The following is a 17,092-nucleotide window of genomic DNA, read 5'->3' on the forward strand; positions in this document are numbered from 1 at the left end:
CTTTTTTATATCAAAAAAAGTAAACAAAACATAAACTTCCAATAAATTTGCAAACACTAATGAAGATAGATGATTATTTCCAAATAAAATTCCAATGGATCTTTTCAAAGAAAAAGTAGACAATTTTTATATATTTTCTTTTGTAGCACTGACAATATTTTAATTTGTAGTACTACTAAATGTCTGAGGATTTGACTGCTGTCACTAAAATGAAATTCTAATAAAAATTGCTACGTAACATTTATTTCCAATTTGTCTATTTATTATATTTTAAAGAATATGCCAAATCATTATTTTCACTGTAGAGATATTGAGAGTCAGAGTTACAGTATATCAGATTATTAAAACAATCAAAGAGTAGTTAATACATCTGTAAAGTATTTTGGCAGATCTTGATATACTCCTTTACAGTAACACCTGTTGCATTAATGTCTCCAACAATTACTAAAATTTTATATAAGTTAACTTTCCTACCACTTCTGCCTCGTTGCAGCACTCAGATTAGGGGTTGGCAAACTACAGAGCAAGGGCCAAATCCAGTTCACTACTTGTTTTTGTAATTACAATTTTATTGGAACACTCACTGCTTGTTGTTTATGGCTTCTTTAGTGCTGCTGTGGCAGAGTTGAGGAGTTGGGGCAGAGAATGTATGTCTTATAAAGCCTAAATCAAATATCTGGCCCTTTAAAAACCGTTTGCCCTCCTTTGTTAGACTGCTAGTTTTCTGAGATGAGAATGACTGCTCTTGTTTGCTTGTTTTCTTTCTTTCTTTCTTTTTTATTTTTTTGCATGGTTTAAACACAATGATTGACACTTGTAAGCAGTCAATGTTTTACCATAATTGGTATTAACTAACAATAAAATTACCTCAATTTACTGATATCTACTAATGTAGAAAGCCTGCAGATATGGGTTCATTTCAAACAGCAGTTTCAACCCAACAAAAAAATGAACAATTACTGGTTGTTAACAAATGTATCCAATTGTTTGTTAATGAGGAAAAAAAGATGTCATTTCCTAACAAAACACAAATATACTTCTAGTTGAAAGTGTGCACAGTTTATAAATTCATATAGAATTGTGCATGGGAAAACAATAACTGCATCGTGATTGGCTATTATCTCATAGAATTTGTCTAACACTTGGTCAGTGAAATAAATGTGTCAAGAAACACATAAACAATTCTAAAAATAATAACATTTTATAAAGTTATCTTAATTAAAAAATAAGCTTTGTGTCTTATGAATAAGTATGCACATACACACACACACACACACTCACACAGAATTCACTATAACACCAAATCCAAGAATCTAAACCAAGTTACATATCATTAGAATTCTACTTTATAATTTCAATAAAATTTGATTTAAAAACCTAGAACCATATTAAATTAAATATTTATACTTCTATTTTATTGTATTTGTTTTAAGATGACATAAAAATTGCTTTAGATAATTTGGTTAACCTTTCTTATTTAGGTTGACAGCTATAAAATAGTGATAAAAATAGATGTTTTCTCATAGGTTTTGTGAAAATAAAGTGAGAGAATACATCTATTTTACTTTGATCAGTGTCTGGCATATCAAGTATTTTGGAGGAAAAGTGTTAGCTATTACTCTTAATTTTATCATAATCGATGTGACAGAATAGATTCTCATTATCTCAGAGTAATTTATATTTTTCATAATTGATATGACATTACTAGACTAAATATTTTTATCCATAATAGAACTAAATAAACATTACATTCAGATTAACTAATATAAATACCTAATGGCCAATGTAATTTAAAAAATCATTTCCACGAAATACGTTTTCTAAGGATTTGGTGATTAGATAATACTGTGCATTAATATGTTATTAAGAAAACTAAGACAAGTTACTTTTCTATGAACATCTGAAGTTTAACAATGGCCCCCTAATAACCTTTTAAAATAATTTCTGAAGACGCTTTCACAGTAACAGCTTGACATCAGATGGTATAAAAAACATATTTTTCCATCAACCAATAAATATGCAGATAAGTACAGGTTAATGCTTAGAAGCTCAGAGATGATTTAGAAATAGAAACCAAAATGTGCTAGAAATAGCAAGCAATCTTATCTGTGAGCTCTGATTCAACACAGTCTACATCTGTATTCCCATCAGTGTTTAGTACCTAGAACACTGTACATAACTGCATGCAGCTATAACAAGATTGTTTTAATCCAAGTTTAAAATAGCTTAGCTCCTTTTGGCTTAGAATAAAAAACTGTTGATCTTTGTTTTAACAAGATATTTCCATTTGTCCTTCAGCAGATTAAAATATGATAGCATAATCTTTTCAGACCCAAAGAAGATTCAAATAAAATTACTTTAGTCAGCTCTTACACAGAGTTGATCAATATAGGTATGAAGTGTGTCTATGTAAGTATGATAACCTCCTTCCTATGGAAGCAAGGTGATTATTCATCTAGGGAAGGAATTCTCAGATGCCAGAACAGAGAAGCAAGACTGCAGGCTATGGATAAATTATGACTTAAATTCTTAAACAAGAGATCATAGAATTGGATAATAAAAACACTAAGATGTCAACAGGTAAATGAGAAAAAAGCAAGAAGAGTAATTTCACAAAAGAAGTACTTGAATTACATAGAAAATATTTTTATTTTACTTGTAACAAAGGAAGAAAACTAAAAGGCTGCATAATTTTCCTATTTCAAATTAAATTAACAACAAACGATGATATTCAGGGCTAGAGAAAACAGAATGGAGCTAGTGTTCTTATGTGTGGCAAGTGACACTGAAAAGTGGCACCAATCCTTTAGAAAACAAAATTCTAAACCTATCAAAAGGCAATAAAATGTTCTCATGCTTTGGCCCTATTGTTTCACAAAATGGTTAGATCATGGGGTTTGTAGTCAAACTAGAAGCAGTCTTGAATATATCCATTACTAGATGCATAGCTTTGGATAATCTAGTCACTGATGAAATGAGATAATAAAACCTGCACCACACAGGGTTGCTTTGAAGAATGAGTTTGATCATATATGTCAAGCTCTCTGCACTGTTTGGGGCTCACAGTCAGCACTTAGAAAGTTTTTAAGTGATATTACTATATTAAGACAGTCTTAGGGCAAAGAGTGAGCTATATTATTATAATGTATATTATTTGTAATATACATAAGGCTGAGCATAGCTTTTAAAGCAACTAAATGATAAAATATTTGTTCAGTAAACCAAAGTATATATGTGGAGTCTATGAAGCAATTAATGTAAATATGGTATAATATTAAATTTTTAAAAATTAGGTAAAAATCGGTGTGAAGAAAAGTAAAATGATGGCATAGGCATATGTCAAATGTGTAAGAGACATTGTGCTGAAATGTTACATTCATTGCATTATGGAAAAATTTTTAGTTCACCCTGGTTTCATTTTTTAAAAGTTGTACTTTATAATTTCAAAAAAAATTAAACAAATCCAGTAATGATACTTATTGCAATATATTTCATTAAAGGCCATGAGTTTTTAAGTGATTAAAAAGAATTTAAACACATAGCTAATATTAACCAAATAACACTGAATAAATTGTTCACTTGTAATTAACACTACAATGTTAATAGTTTTATACATTCCTTAAAATATTTCAGGATGCAAAACTGCATAGTACTAAATGTGTTTCCGCCAAATTTGTATGTTGAAGTCTTGACCTCAAAAGTGATGATTTTAGGAGGTAGGGTATTTGGAAGCTGATAAGATCATAAGTGCCCAGCCCTCTTGAATGAGGTCAGTTTTCTATCAAACAGGTTTGAGGGAATTCCCTTGTCCCTTCCCTCCATATAAAGACACAGCAAGAAGGCAACCTTCTGCAAGGTGGTAAGAGAGCCCTCACTAGGAATCAAAGAGGCAAGCACCTTCAACATTAAAATATCAACACCTTAAAAATACTTGATGACCCAAACTCTACCACATTATTTAAATGCAAGTTTTAAATAGAGATTAAATCATATAAATGACTGAGGTGCACCTTAAATAAATTATGCACTTAACATGAATTTCTTTGAAAAATCCCCCAAATTGTACAAATCTAAGTGTCTCCTGTGCGGCCATTCATCTTAAGGAAAAAGTCAAAAACACAAACAAACAAAAACTAATTCACATTAACACTGTAATCAGACACTCTCCTTATTTCTTACTCTAAAAAAAACTATTAGGACCTAGAAATATCAAACTAAATGAAAGCAGAAAAAAACTTGAGGTGAGACATATTTAGAAAACACTTCAATTATTTTTTTTCAAGCTATACTTCAATAATGACTCTCTGTTTTTACTTTGTTTCATTACTCTAATGGGCCAGAGATCATTATAAAACATTAAGTTCTTCCTCCACGAATGCCACAGGTAAAGGAATTGATTCAATTAGCAAATGTTATTAAACGTGTTAGATACAATTTGCTTATTCCAATATATATTTGAACTCAAAATAAATTTTATCAAATATTAACCATCTTTCATAAACTTTTTGCTGCGGTAGAAGATACAGTCATTCTCATTATTAGTAAACATTTACTGAGAATCTATATGCTATTCTTTAATAGTGAAGAAATTACATAACAACAGTTCTCTACTCATGTGTAACACAGTGGTTCCAAACCTGGCTACACATTAGAATCAACAAGGAAGCTTAAAAACAAAAGTCCAGGCCTTACTTTACAATAATTAAATCAGAACATCTTGATTGTGGAACTCAAACATCATTATTTTTCAAAATCTGTAAGTTGATTCTAAATTTTCTCCAGGTTGAGAAACACTGATCCAAGAGATACTCAATAAACACGTATTGTATTGAACTGATGTGTATTATAATAGTTCTTTGGGAATTTACTTAATGAATACAAGGGAAAGGCTTGTAATTAGCATATTAATGGCCTGCATGTAAGCAGAAACTTCAAAAGTGCCTGGAGGTGCTTATAAATAATATGTTCTTTGGTAAGTATGTATATATAGAGAGAGATTATATATAATTAAACATATAATTTATATATACATTATATATATGTAAATTATGTACAAATTTTATATGTAAAAATCTTATGCATAAAAAGTATTAAAAACATATATATCAGATATATGATATGAAGAAGACTTCAATAATGATGTATATATATCATATATATGGTATATATGTATCATATATACATCATGATGCATATATGATATACACACACACACACACACACACACACATATACATTAATCAGGTCCAATTCCATTAAGAAAATTAAAGTCAGATGTGGTTTCTCCTTTGCTCTCCCAATTAATATTTCCAATAATTATGAAAGGCCTGGACATGATATTAGTGGCAACAATAACAGGTTAGAAAGAGTTATGTTCACTCCTAAAAATCTTTCCTGTATTTCTTGAAGAACAAAATCACAATCACCACTGCTACCACCATTATCACTTTCACTGCTACCAGTAAAAACAAAGCAAGAAAAGAAATATTAAGAAACACTATTTTTATCTTTGGCAAGAACATTATAGGGAAAAAAACCCAGCATGGAACTATGACTATTGTGGAGTTCCCTCTGATATTTTGGGATGATGGATTTTATTGAGCTCACTCTAGAGCGCATATCCTATTTTAGAAGACTTCAATAATGCCCTGGTCATAATATCTGCCAGTCTGAAGGAGTAATGGTATCTTCCTACCAACTTATTATAAATCAGTGACTCAGACACTTGGACATCTCTTCTTCTAATATTTGTTTAAAAGTAAGAAAAGGGGTTGGGGGAAGTAGGAAGGAAGGTGTGGTTTTAAAATTTTTGAATGCCTTCTCAGTGATTCATAACATAAAAAATATATATGATATGAATCACGTAAGCCATATTCCCATTTGGAGCCACAATAAAAACTAAACAATATTAAACACTATCATATTCTGGAAAAATATAATTTTTTTAAAAAGAAAATCTTGCATGTGTATGATGTGCATGTAAAAATTAACTTCCTTATTTTTCAAAAATCGGTTTGTATACGAGAAAGTTCCTGCCATTAATGAGTCAGGAAGGAATAGAAGATGAGGTTGTGCAGGGACACAGGAGAGGCTGTGGAAGGCCAAATAGTCTGGGCTAAGGAGTCACAGGAAACTGGGCATGCCATATGCACTCATACCCATGCGCCTTTTTCCATCATACTCTCCCGACCATCTCTGGTAAAATTTATCTTCACCCTCAAGGTGTAGTTCAAATCTACCACTCCTCTATCAATATTTCTGTGTTCATTTAAGCAGAGATAATTTTATCTTCTATTCTCACACTGATTTCTTCTCAATTTGTTCCAAATACTCACAATCTATAGCAACTGGTCCAAGAAGTCAAACCATAACCTTTGTAGCAATCAGACCAAATGGTTAGAACCTAATAACTGCAAACTTCCCTAATTTTTGGTCCCTATTTCCAATTCAGGATCAAACAAAGGAAGCCAAATCACCTAGGATGCTCTGATTTTAGGTAGCCCATTTCCAGCTTCAATATGCCAACAACCTCCAAATCTGGGCCTAACTGAAGCCTTCTCTTTGTCCCCATTATTACCCTATCCTGTCTGCCTTTGGGTTTCTACCAAATGCATGTGATGTTGGCTGATCCTCTTCTGTAGTAAGCTGTGGAAAAAATACTCTGTGTTTGTTCTCAGCTGGGTGATTTCAGCTTATTTCCACAGAAGAGATAATCTTTACTAGTTCAATAAAGGGAAAATATATGGATTCATCTTTGCAATCAACGACCATCTTATTTCTGTTCCAGCATAATAATAGTGTTGATATACAACATACTGAATCATGTTTCTTACTCCTGCAGAACGATGCCTACACTGAGCAAACATCAATTACCTCCATTTCTAGGAGCCTAAATTTGCTAAGCTTCTTCCACTGAGCTCTTCCTCCCCCAGTCATTTCACAGCTGAAACACGTCTGTCTCGGGGGCCTCTTAGAAAAGAACGTAGGATTATCATGATGAACCTATTTGTGCTCAGCTATTTTAGGTTTTAAATTATTTTGAGAAAAGGAGAGAAAATTTGAAAGCAAATAAAGTTGCAAATAAGTGATGCTGTTTTCGTCAGCTCAAATAAATAACGTTTATAAACACAGCTTTGAAAGTACTGTTTTAAATACTCATTTAATGAAAAAATAACATCAATTAAAAATATGAGTGGGTTCAAAAAAAGAAGAAAATAAGTAAAAGAAACAAGTCAAATATGTACATTGTTTAGCTCCCTCCATTATGTCTGTCTAGTATTTTTCTAAAATTGAATCACATCTATCAGCATGAAACTTTTAAGGTGGAAAAATCAGAAAGACTAAGCTTTCCATTTAATTATGTCTCTCTCAAATAATAAAAGTAATTGCGGCAATATACTGAAATTACCAAAACTCAAGGAATGTGTGTATTTTGTGATAAACATATTATGATAATTGAACATACTCTAGAATGACTTAAGAGGAAGCTAAATGTCACATTTTCATATCACACTATTCAAATTCCATGCAACTACATTCTGTTTTTTATTAGTATTGATCAGTAGCATTAAAATCACATATTATAATAGTTGCCATAATTATTTAAAATTAAATATTGTGCTGGTGATAAATGTGAAATATTTAATACATTGTATACATAACAGTGATTAATTATGGTTACAATTGCTTTATACATTGAATTGTGTATAAATGTATGTGTGTGATTATATTCACAAAAATGTACCTTTATAAAATATTCGTAATTGTGACTATATATGATCTCCAACAGGAATTTACCTGACCAAACATTGAAAAATATTTTAATATTATAATATTTATATTTGTATAATACTGATAAAAATCAGACAGATTAATAGAACGGCTTTCATAGCCCAGAGCCAACATAGACAAAATAATACCCGTGTAGCTGCTTATTTAGTACATGCTACATGTAGAAACCTATAAGATTTTTGGAGGAGAGTGAAAACCACTGCTGAGTACTCACATAAGTCTTTGGAAAATATCAATTTAAATCCCCACGTACACAAAATTAACATTTTAAAGATTTTTTTATATCCCGTGCAAAATAAACATTACTAAAACACAAAAGTTGACACTTTCAATAATATAGCTCTGTTCTGTGAAGTGCTACAATCCCACTAGTTTTAATGGGTAAAGAGCCTGTTCATGCAATTTACAAAACAGATGTTAAAACAGCTAATGACTGTACTTTTTGCTTATAAGTGAATGATCTCATTAAATCTAAAAATAAAAATAAATTTAATTATAAATGCACAGCTATTTTTCTCCTATTAAATAAGCAACGATGTTCTAGGTTGTGAACTACCAATATCATGTACCATTGAGGGGAATGCTAATTGTACAGTAGTTCAGAAGGGCCATTTGTCAATATGTATAAACAATCTTAAAAATATTCATATGCATTGACCCTTACTTTGAATTTTATGAATGTGTTCTAAGGACATTAATGACAGAAATAGTAAGATACAAAACATGCACACACAGAGGCACACAAAATCTTTCTCTCAAACAATAACAGTTATACACACACAGAGAGAGCAAAACATTCATGACAAAGATCAAACATTAGCATACCTAACAGACACTAAATTTTTGCTTTTAAAATATTTTTAATTGCTCATATAAATTTTATATTGTTATGTTAAGTAAAAAAAACAGAAAACAAAACTACCAATTAAAAATTCAACTGTACAAAAGACATCTTAAATATATATGGCAAAATATTAATACTGTTTGCTTCTGGTGGTATGATTAACTTTCTTTCTGAATTTTGTCTTTTATGTTCTTTGTAATTTAAAATAAGAATTAAGAAATGCCTACCTAAATAAAAATAGCAGCTTAGTGAGAAATTAGGGCAATTGACTTAACTCTGCCAAATTTGTAACCTGCAATATAAAAAAAAAAGGCTGAAACTTATAGGAAAGTGAAGAAGCAAGACGTCTTGGTAATGTCAGCAAATCAGGGCATTCATCTAAGGACGTGGCCATTAATCTAACCTCTAAGAATATGTTGGAAAATAGCTAAAGTGGTGCAGGTGCAATCTGAGCACTTGGAGTCTATGGAGACACAATGCAGTGGGGGCGGGGGTTGGGCGGTAAGTGGAAGCAGGATTGATAGTGATTTTCACCTTAGGACATTTGGTTTATACTGAGATGATCCCCTAATAGACTTCCAAGCTGGGTTATTTCAGAGTCCTCCTTGGAGCTGGGGGCGCTGTCCAAAGGCTTGGATACACTGGAGCAGGATCCAGTCACCATGGCTTTGGAAACTGATAGGAACAAATGGGCTAAACTGTACAAGCTCCATTCAGATATTTGAGATATACAGAAGTTCCTTCTCATTTCAATTTATTGGATGAAGATTTAGAAGCCCCAAGGCTTAGGCAGAAAGATACAGGGTGGTAAAATGCACATCTACTTATATTTAAAAGTAGCTTTTTCCCTATTGGGGCTGAAAAGCAACAGTATACACTAGCACAGGTTTGAAATGATTAATAATACATCATTAAGCCTTAAAAAAAAGCCTTACCCTGGCCCACTACTTCCCAAATTACTAGAGAAGAGGTAAATCCAAAAGACTACAGTATGTACGTTTGGAACAGGTAGAACAGGGCTGAGTCAGGAAAAGTTAGATATCAACAACACAACAAATCATTAAGAGGTTCCCATGTATTACAAAAAGCATGGAAGTCATACAAATGTAGAATACTGGTTTATTACATATTTGTCCATCTAAATTCATTTTTTTTGTATGTCTCATTCTTTTTTTTTATTATACTTTAAGATTTAGGGTACATGTGCACAATGTGCAGGTTAGTTACATATGTATACATGAGCCATGCTGGTGTGCTGCACCCATTAACTTGTCATTTAGCATTAGGTATATCTCCTAATGCTATCCCTCCCCCCTCCCCCCACCCCACAACAGTTCCCAGAGTGTGATGTTCCCCTTCCTGTGTCCATGTGTTCTCATTGTTCAATTCCCATCTATGAGTGAGAGCATGAGGTGTTTGGTTTTTTGTCCTTGTGATAGTTTGCTGAGAATGATGATTTCCAATTTCATCCATGTCCCTACAAAGGACATGAACTCATCATTTTTTATGGCTGCATAGTATTCCATGGTGTATATGTGCCACATTTTCTTAATCCAGTCTATCATTGTTGGACATTTGGGTTGGTTCCAAGTCTTTGCTATTGTGAATAGTGCCACAATAAACATACGTGTGCATGTGTCTTTATAGCAGCATGTTTTATAATCCTTTGGGTATATACCCAGTAATGGGATGGCTGGGTCAAATGGTATTTCTACTGCTAGATCCCTGAGGAATCGCCACACTGACTTCCACAATGGTTGAACTAGTTTACAGTCCCACCAACAGTGTAAAAGTGTTCCTATTTCTCCACATCCTCTCCAGCACCTGTTGTTTCCTGACTTTTTAATGATTGCCATTCTAACTGTTGTGAGATGGTATCTCATTGAGGTTTTGATTTGCATTTCTCTGATGGCCAGTGATGATGAGTATTTTTTCATGTGTCTTTTGGCTGCATAAATGTCTTCTTTTGAGAAGGGTCTGTTCATATCCTTTGCCCACTTTTTGATGGGGTTGTTTTTTTCTTGTAAATTTGTTGGAGTTCATTGTAGATTCTGGATATTAGCCCTTTGTCAGATGAGTAGGTTGCGAAAATTTTCTCCCATTTTGTAGGTTGCCTGTTCACTCTGATGGTAGTTTCTTTTGCTGTGCAGAAGCTCTTTAGTTTAATTAGATCCCATTTGTCAATTTTGGCTTTTGTTGCCATTGCTTTTGGTGTTTTAGGCATGAAGTCCTTGCCCATGCCTATGTCCTGAATGGTAATGCCTAGGTTTTATTCTAGGGTTTTTATGGTTTTAGGTCCATCTAAATTCCTATGTAAATAATTTTAATTCACTTATCATGTAAATATTGAATTCATGCTAATTTGATGATTCCTTGTTGGAGTTTTAGATCATCTTTGGTATGATTACATAGAAATTAATAATTTAAGTGGCTGAATTTCATCTTAAAAGTTGTCTGAGGAAGATTGGACCTCTAAATTGGTAATTCCTTATATTTTTCCTTGCAGCAAATTAGGAAAATCAGAATACTTGTGCAAGCTTAATGTGTCTATTGCTTAAATAGTTATACTGAACTTTGCATCCTTAAAAATATAGCATTGTGGTGCTGGCATATCCAAAAATCTCTTGAACAACATTAGCTTTGCAGATTTTTGGTAAAATTCCAGTATATCTAGGAAAAATTAACATTAATATAAAAAGTACTTGACTTCATCTTATATTCTTGAATATTTCTGAAGATTCAACTCTTTTCTCTGTAATTGCACATTATGATTATCTTTTACATTGTATGTGTAATATTTCTCCATATTTTGAAACAGGTTTCTCTTTGTATTAAACACTAAGGATATTAATAAATGTATTAAACAATTGAATTAAATGATTAAATAATCAAAGCTACATGACTTCAATTGAAATTCAACATGGATAATAGATTATTTGGTCTTTAATGTTGGCAGGATCTGTGCATTATCTATGGAGAGGATCAGTTTAAACAAAGGCTACTCAATTTGCTTCAGGAAAAATCAAGGGGAATAGGCATAGCAATATCAGAGAAGCATTAGGATTCTCCAACATCAGAGGCATTGAGAACTATTGGAGGTAGGCAAGAGGTACTTGTGAGGTACATGGGACTATTTGAATCTATGGAATTATCTGTCTGGAGGGACACTAAAGAGGAATTACAAAGTTGGTCTGAACACAGCCTAGAAAAAACTTGGGAAACAGAGGTTTTCCCCAATTAATTTCCACAGGGAGGTCAAACCTTGCCAACTTGATGAGATCTTGCCTTCTGCATGGAAGTAGGGGTGTAGTAAGGGGGAAAAAAAAACTACACTAAACTTTCAACTATATTTCTTGGCTTTCATTGCATTTCAACCTATCAATCTATCTTGGTCCAAGAGTACTCTATTTTTTATATATTTTCTCTGTCTGTATATTATGATATTTTGACATCTTGAAAACCTCTCTGGCTGGGGAAAGACTGCCCCTCTCATGGCTAGCCAGTTCCTAGAAGTAGCAAAGTACTTAGCCTACAGCATGTATTTGAGATGCAAACTAACCAATCTGGAGCAATACCTTTTTTAACCTCCCATTAACTTCAGGAGGCAATATTCCCCTGCCTTGATAACCCCAGGCCCAGGTTCCAGGCAACTAGAGACCTCTTCTATAAGCCCAAAGTTTGCCAGAATTCTTCAAACTAGCCAATATACTTTCACATAGAAACACCAACAAAGGCTCACTCCTAGACTTTCCCCTCACTCCTGTCTTCTTCCTCCTGACCAAAATCTGGTGTTTCTCTGATGGCCCTGCATGACATGCCATACCTTCCGTTTCTAGGACCGGAGAGTATAATAAACTTTGTTTTCCTATGCCTCTTCCGTGTTTCTTCCTGTGGTCATACCTTACTAACCATCAGTTAGATGAACACAGGGCAAGAACTCAACAAACAGCAACCATCATGGGTATGCAGATTCCAGTGCCGAATCTTGCAAACAGGAAGAAATGATAATATGTTATTTAAAACAACAGCAAGGAAGAGTCCCAAAATAACAACAAAATCAACTGAGATTGTCATTTATAATAACGATGGCTAAAACACAGTGTGACGATGAAAGCAGACATAACTAATATTTAATACATAAAAGTATGCCATTTTTCTGTGAGATTAAAACATTAGAGGAGAAAAAAAGTAATGAGAGAAACAAGGAGTAAGAGACAGTACGGGAATTTTGGTAAGCAAAATAATTGGTGTATTAGTTTGTTTTCATACTGCTATAAAGAACTGCTGGAGACCGGGTAATTTATAAGAGAAAGTGGGTGGAGAGGCCTCAGGAAACTTACAATCCTGAATCATTGTGGAGGGGGAAGCAAGGGACGTTTTTCATAAGGCAGCAGGAAGGAGAAGTGCCAAGCAAAGTGGTAAGAGCACATTATAAAACCATTAGTTCTTGTAAGAACTCACTCAGGATCATGAGAACAACATAGGGGAAACTGCCCCCATGATTCAATTACCTCCACCTGGTCTCTCCTTTGACATGAGGTGATTATGGGGATTATAATTCAAGATGAGATTTGGGTGGGGACACAAAGCCTAACCATATCACTTGAAATAGAATATGCTTTTTATCACTATAACTATCACAGCCATCAGCAGTATACAAAGTCAGTCCTTCCAAATGGCATAATAAAGAATTCAGCTGCTTGAGATTGAGTTGCTGATCTATTAGAAACATTTTCTTTTTTTCCTGGTTCATGTAAGACCTTATAAAGCACAGATCTTGAACAAATGTGGCTTTTAGCTGATGTTTAAAATCATCTGAGACACTTTGATTCATTTTTCAACAATGAGTATACTTCCAGACATGGCTCAGGAAATTAACTGATTTCTCTGTTGAATAGATGTTCTAGCCTTTGGCATAGGGCAGTGCTATTGATTTTCACTGTGGAGCTGGGTATCAGGTTCCTGTGAAAGGCTGTGTTATTGTGGGTTCTGAGAGATGTGTAAAATTCCCAGAAACCTAGGAGGGTCTTCTGCCAGAGCCCAGCGTCTTCTGGAGTGCCAGCCTGTACTCTTTCAGATAGGGATCACATTCTTAGAGAAATGGAGCTTTGAGCAAATGGAGCTTTAGACAAAAAGTGTATTTTGCTCTTGTGGTTAGGCTTTTGACCTGCCCTTTGCTTCATACTAGGTGAAATCTAAGTCATTTGATTCTTTACTTAAATAATTTATATCTTTGCAAGTGAGTGATATTAACTTGTTGTTTCCAGTACCATAAACTGAGTTTTTCTTTCAAATGTTTGCCTCAATATAACTTCCTGAGCATTGCAGCATGTTTACATATTTGATTTGCTCAATAGTGGATGTTCAATAGTGTTGAGCAATTGAGCCAGTAACCCTCTTACGTTCAGTTTCCTAGGACGGTTTACTTCCCACAGTGGGCAATTAGTTGTTGCTATGTTCCTTGTCTTCCTGGCATCACTCTGCCCTAATCCCCATTTGTCAGTTATTAATAAATTATGATGTGCTCTCTAATTATTTTGATTCAGAGCCTTTGAAGAAAAAAGCATGTAATCATGGGAAAATAGAAGAGATAAAAACCCTCAGATATTAAATCAATACACGTCTGGATTTTTTCCAGTTTTACAAAGTCACATCTATTGCTAACTCATAAGCTTCTGAGATTTACTTTTATTGAGCTTTTTTCTAAAATCAGGGATTGTATATATGATTACAAATGTTTGGTTACCATTATTTTAAAATATAATATTTATGAGATTAAAATGTTTTCATAAAATTTATTTTTCTTATTAGAACTTATTAAATTCTGAAACTATACAAGCCTAATCATGTTATAGATGCCAAATATATCAATTTATAAAAGTTATTGCTGCTTGACGTCACCGGGTACATCATGACAATGGTATAAGCATGTCCAGATGTCAAAGAAATAAAATCAAAAGCTAGTGAGGATTTATTAACTCCTATGCACTACTTCTTGAAATCATTGCATTTACTTTGTGATGGGATCAAAAGGATTATATTTGTTTATTTAAAGGTGTATTTATGGGTTGAGCATTTCATTATGTTTATTTTAGAGATATTAAAGTTTTTCATTTTCTAAAATGTCAACATTAATGGGAAAAATGGACAAACCACTTCAAATGGAGATTGATGCACAGCTCATCTTTAATTCAATAACTTATGAGTTATTTATTTAATTAAGTTATGTAGGAAAGCCACAGAAGCCTTTATTCTCTAAATACTTACTGGCCGGCAGAAGAGAGAAGATATTTACACAATGCCCTATAATTTGTGGCTGAAAGTGTTAAATTCTATGAGAATACTGATACATTGTTTTGATATATTGTTCAAAGGAGAGAATACTTTGGCTAAAGGGATTGAGGAAATTTCTTTTTCCTCTATTCATGACAGAAAGTTTGATATAAGACTTCACATGTCAGTAAGGCTTAAATATTGAGAGATAATATGAAGCTTTTTCCAAGCAAATGGAGGATGTGAAAAAGAGTGTAGAGTGAGAGATTCTCTTTCCTCATTCTCAGTCCACGTGCTTTGTATGAAACTGACCCTATTTTCAGTTTCAGTTGTGAGTTCCTATGGTGTTGGTCACAAAGTGTAACTTCTCTATCCTCTCCTTAGTTAAGGTCTCAGTGCTACTGATTGACTTACTCTGTGGAGCTGGGTATCAAGTTTCTGTAACAGCCTGTGCCATTTCAGCTCTGAGAGTGAAGGGTGAGAGCCCTAAAGTCAAATCTGTGTTCAACACAGTGACCATTTCCCCTTAGTGACCCAGCAGTTGCCTGATCTCTTCCAACCTCATGGGCCTCTCCTTCTTAGCTGACTGTGGCTGGATCTTATTCTTCCACCCTACTTTTCAATATCACAGTGTCCCAAGGTTTTATCCAATAACTTCATTTTAATCAATGCCTTTAAATACCATATTTGTTCAACAACATTCTTGAATTATGTCTCAATTGCATAACAGACATTATTTTAAACACCTGGATCTATCAGTACCTGTTCTTTAGACTTAATGTTTTAATATCTGGGAACTTTTCAGCTGCAAGATCAATAATTTCCTTTTAGATTAAGCCACTCTAAATTATGCCTTCTATCATTTGCAAGCAAATAAATCCAAGACAACAACATATAGTGATAATTCTGGAAAGGTAGTTTGAAGCACATTTTTAATAGTCTTAAACTCCAGCTGCACTCCTCCAGTCATACTTTCATTAGACATTTACCCAGGACCTACATTGTAATCTGGATATTCAAGATGAGTACATATCTACTGGGGTGACAGATACATTAAATGGTGAACTAAAACTACTTTAGTGAGAAAATAAAGTTTTAAGGGTAGACAGAAATGGAATTAACCAGGGTTCACAAAGTCAGGAATGACCATGGAGTTGGTGACATTTAATTTGCATGATTTTAGAATGAATACAATTTACTGGATATACCTGTCCCATGAAGGGAGGAGGATCTACTAAAATTCAATGTATTTTTTAGTGTCAAGTTACCATTAATATTAATTTCTAAGAGATGTTTTATTCATATTTCTGATAGTTTCTAAAGTTTTAAAATGTAAATTCCATTATTTTTAGCAGCAGAAAATCAGAGGCTTCCCACACAAAAGTTCAAAAGTTGAATAATCACAAGTCTTGGGGAAGTTATATCCTAAAGAGCAAAGGCCCTGACGTCAGAGCTGGGTTCATGGTCCAGGCCCTTACTGACTGGTTGTATACAACAGTTTATGTTCTGGACACTTTCCAAGAGGAAAAAAGTCACAGATAAAAATCTCTATTATTTTGTATCCTTCTCTAGTAGGACAGACAGACTAAAAATGATGCATGGTGTGTAGAGGAAACAATCAGGTCATCTTTTTAGTATGCTCAATTGAGAGAACAAGATTGAGCAAAGATTTGAAAGAAGAAAGAAGCTATAAGGTTCTCTGTGTCAAGGAAGTTTTAGACAGTAAGAAGAGCCAATGCCAAAGAATTAAGGCAGGACCATTCTTACAATTTTTAAGAAACAGCAAGAAGATAATTTTATCAGCTATAAATTAGATAAGATCTAGTATTGAGACATCGTGGTGTTGTGAGATATTACTTGTAAAACCTTTAGAACATTGCCTAGTAGGAAATGCTATGTAATTAATGTTAGATAATGATATACTTATCATTATTATTACCATGTTACTTCCATTAGGCAAAGAAGCTTCTCTGCAGGTTTTAGCACCTACCCTTCATGAATATACTCTTCACAAAGTACTCATTCAAGAAACTATGATGCTTTGATATCAGATGTAGTCAGAGCTCGTTGATGTGTCTAAATTAAATAGCTGCATTAAAAACTCTGACATAAATATTTTATTTGGCCCCAAATGAGCTTGAAGAAAACTTTCTAAGTTCAAAGGATTTTACTATCAAGTCATTG

General features: G+C 33.4%; 1 protein-coding gene across 13 annotated transcripts in view; it reads right to left on the reverse strand.

The window, feature by feature from the left end:
* Nucleotides 1-17,092, reverse strand: part of EPHA5 (EPH receptor A5) — a 350,923-nt gene that overhangs the window by 58,451 nt on the left and 275,380 nt on the right. The window lies entirely within an intron of this gene.

Source organism: Homo sapiens, chromosome 4, assembly GCF_000001405.40.
Source record: "Homo sapiens chromosome 4, GRCh38.p14 Primary Assembly".
Taxonomy (NCBI): domain Eukaryota; kingdom Metazoa; phylum Chordata; class Mammalia; order Primates; family Hominidae; genus Homo; species Homo sapiens.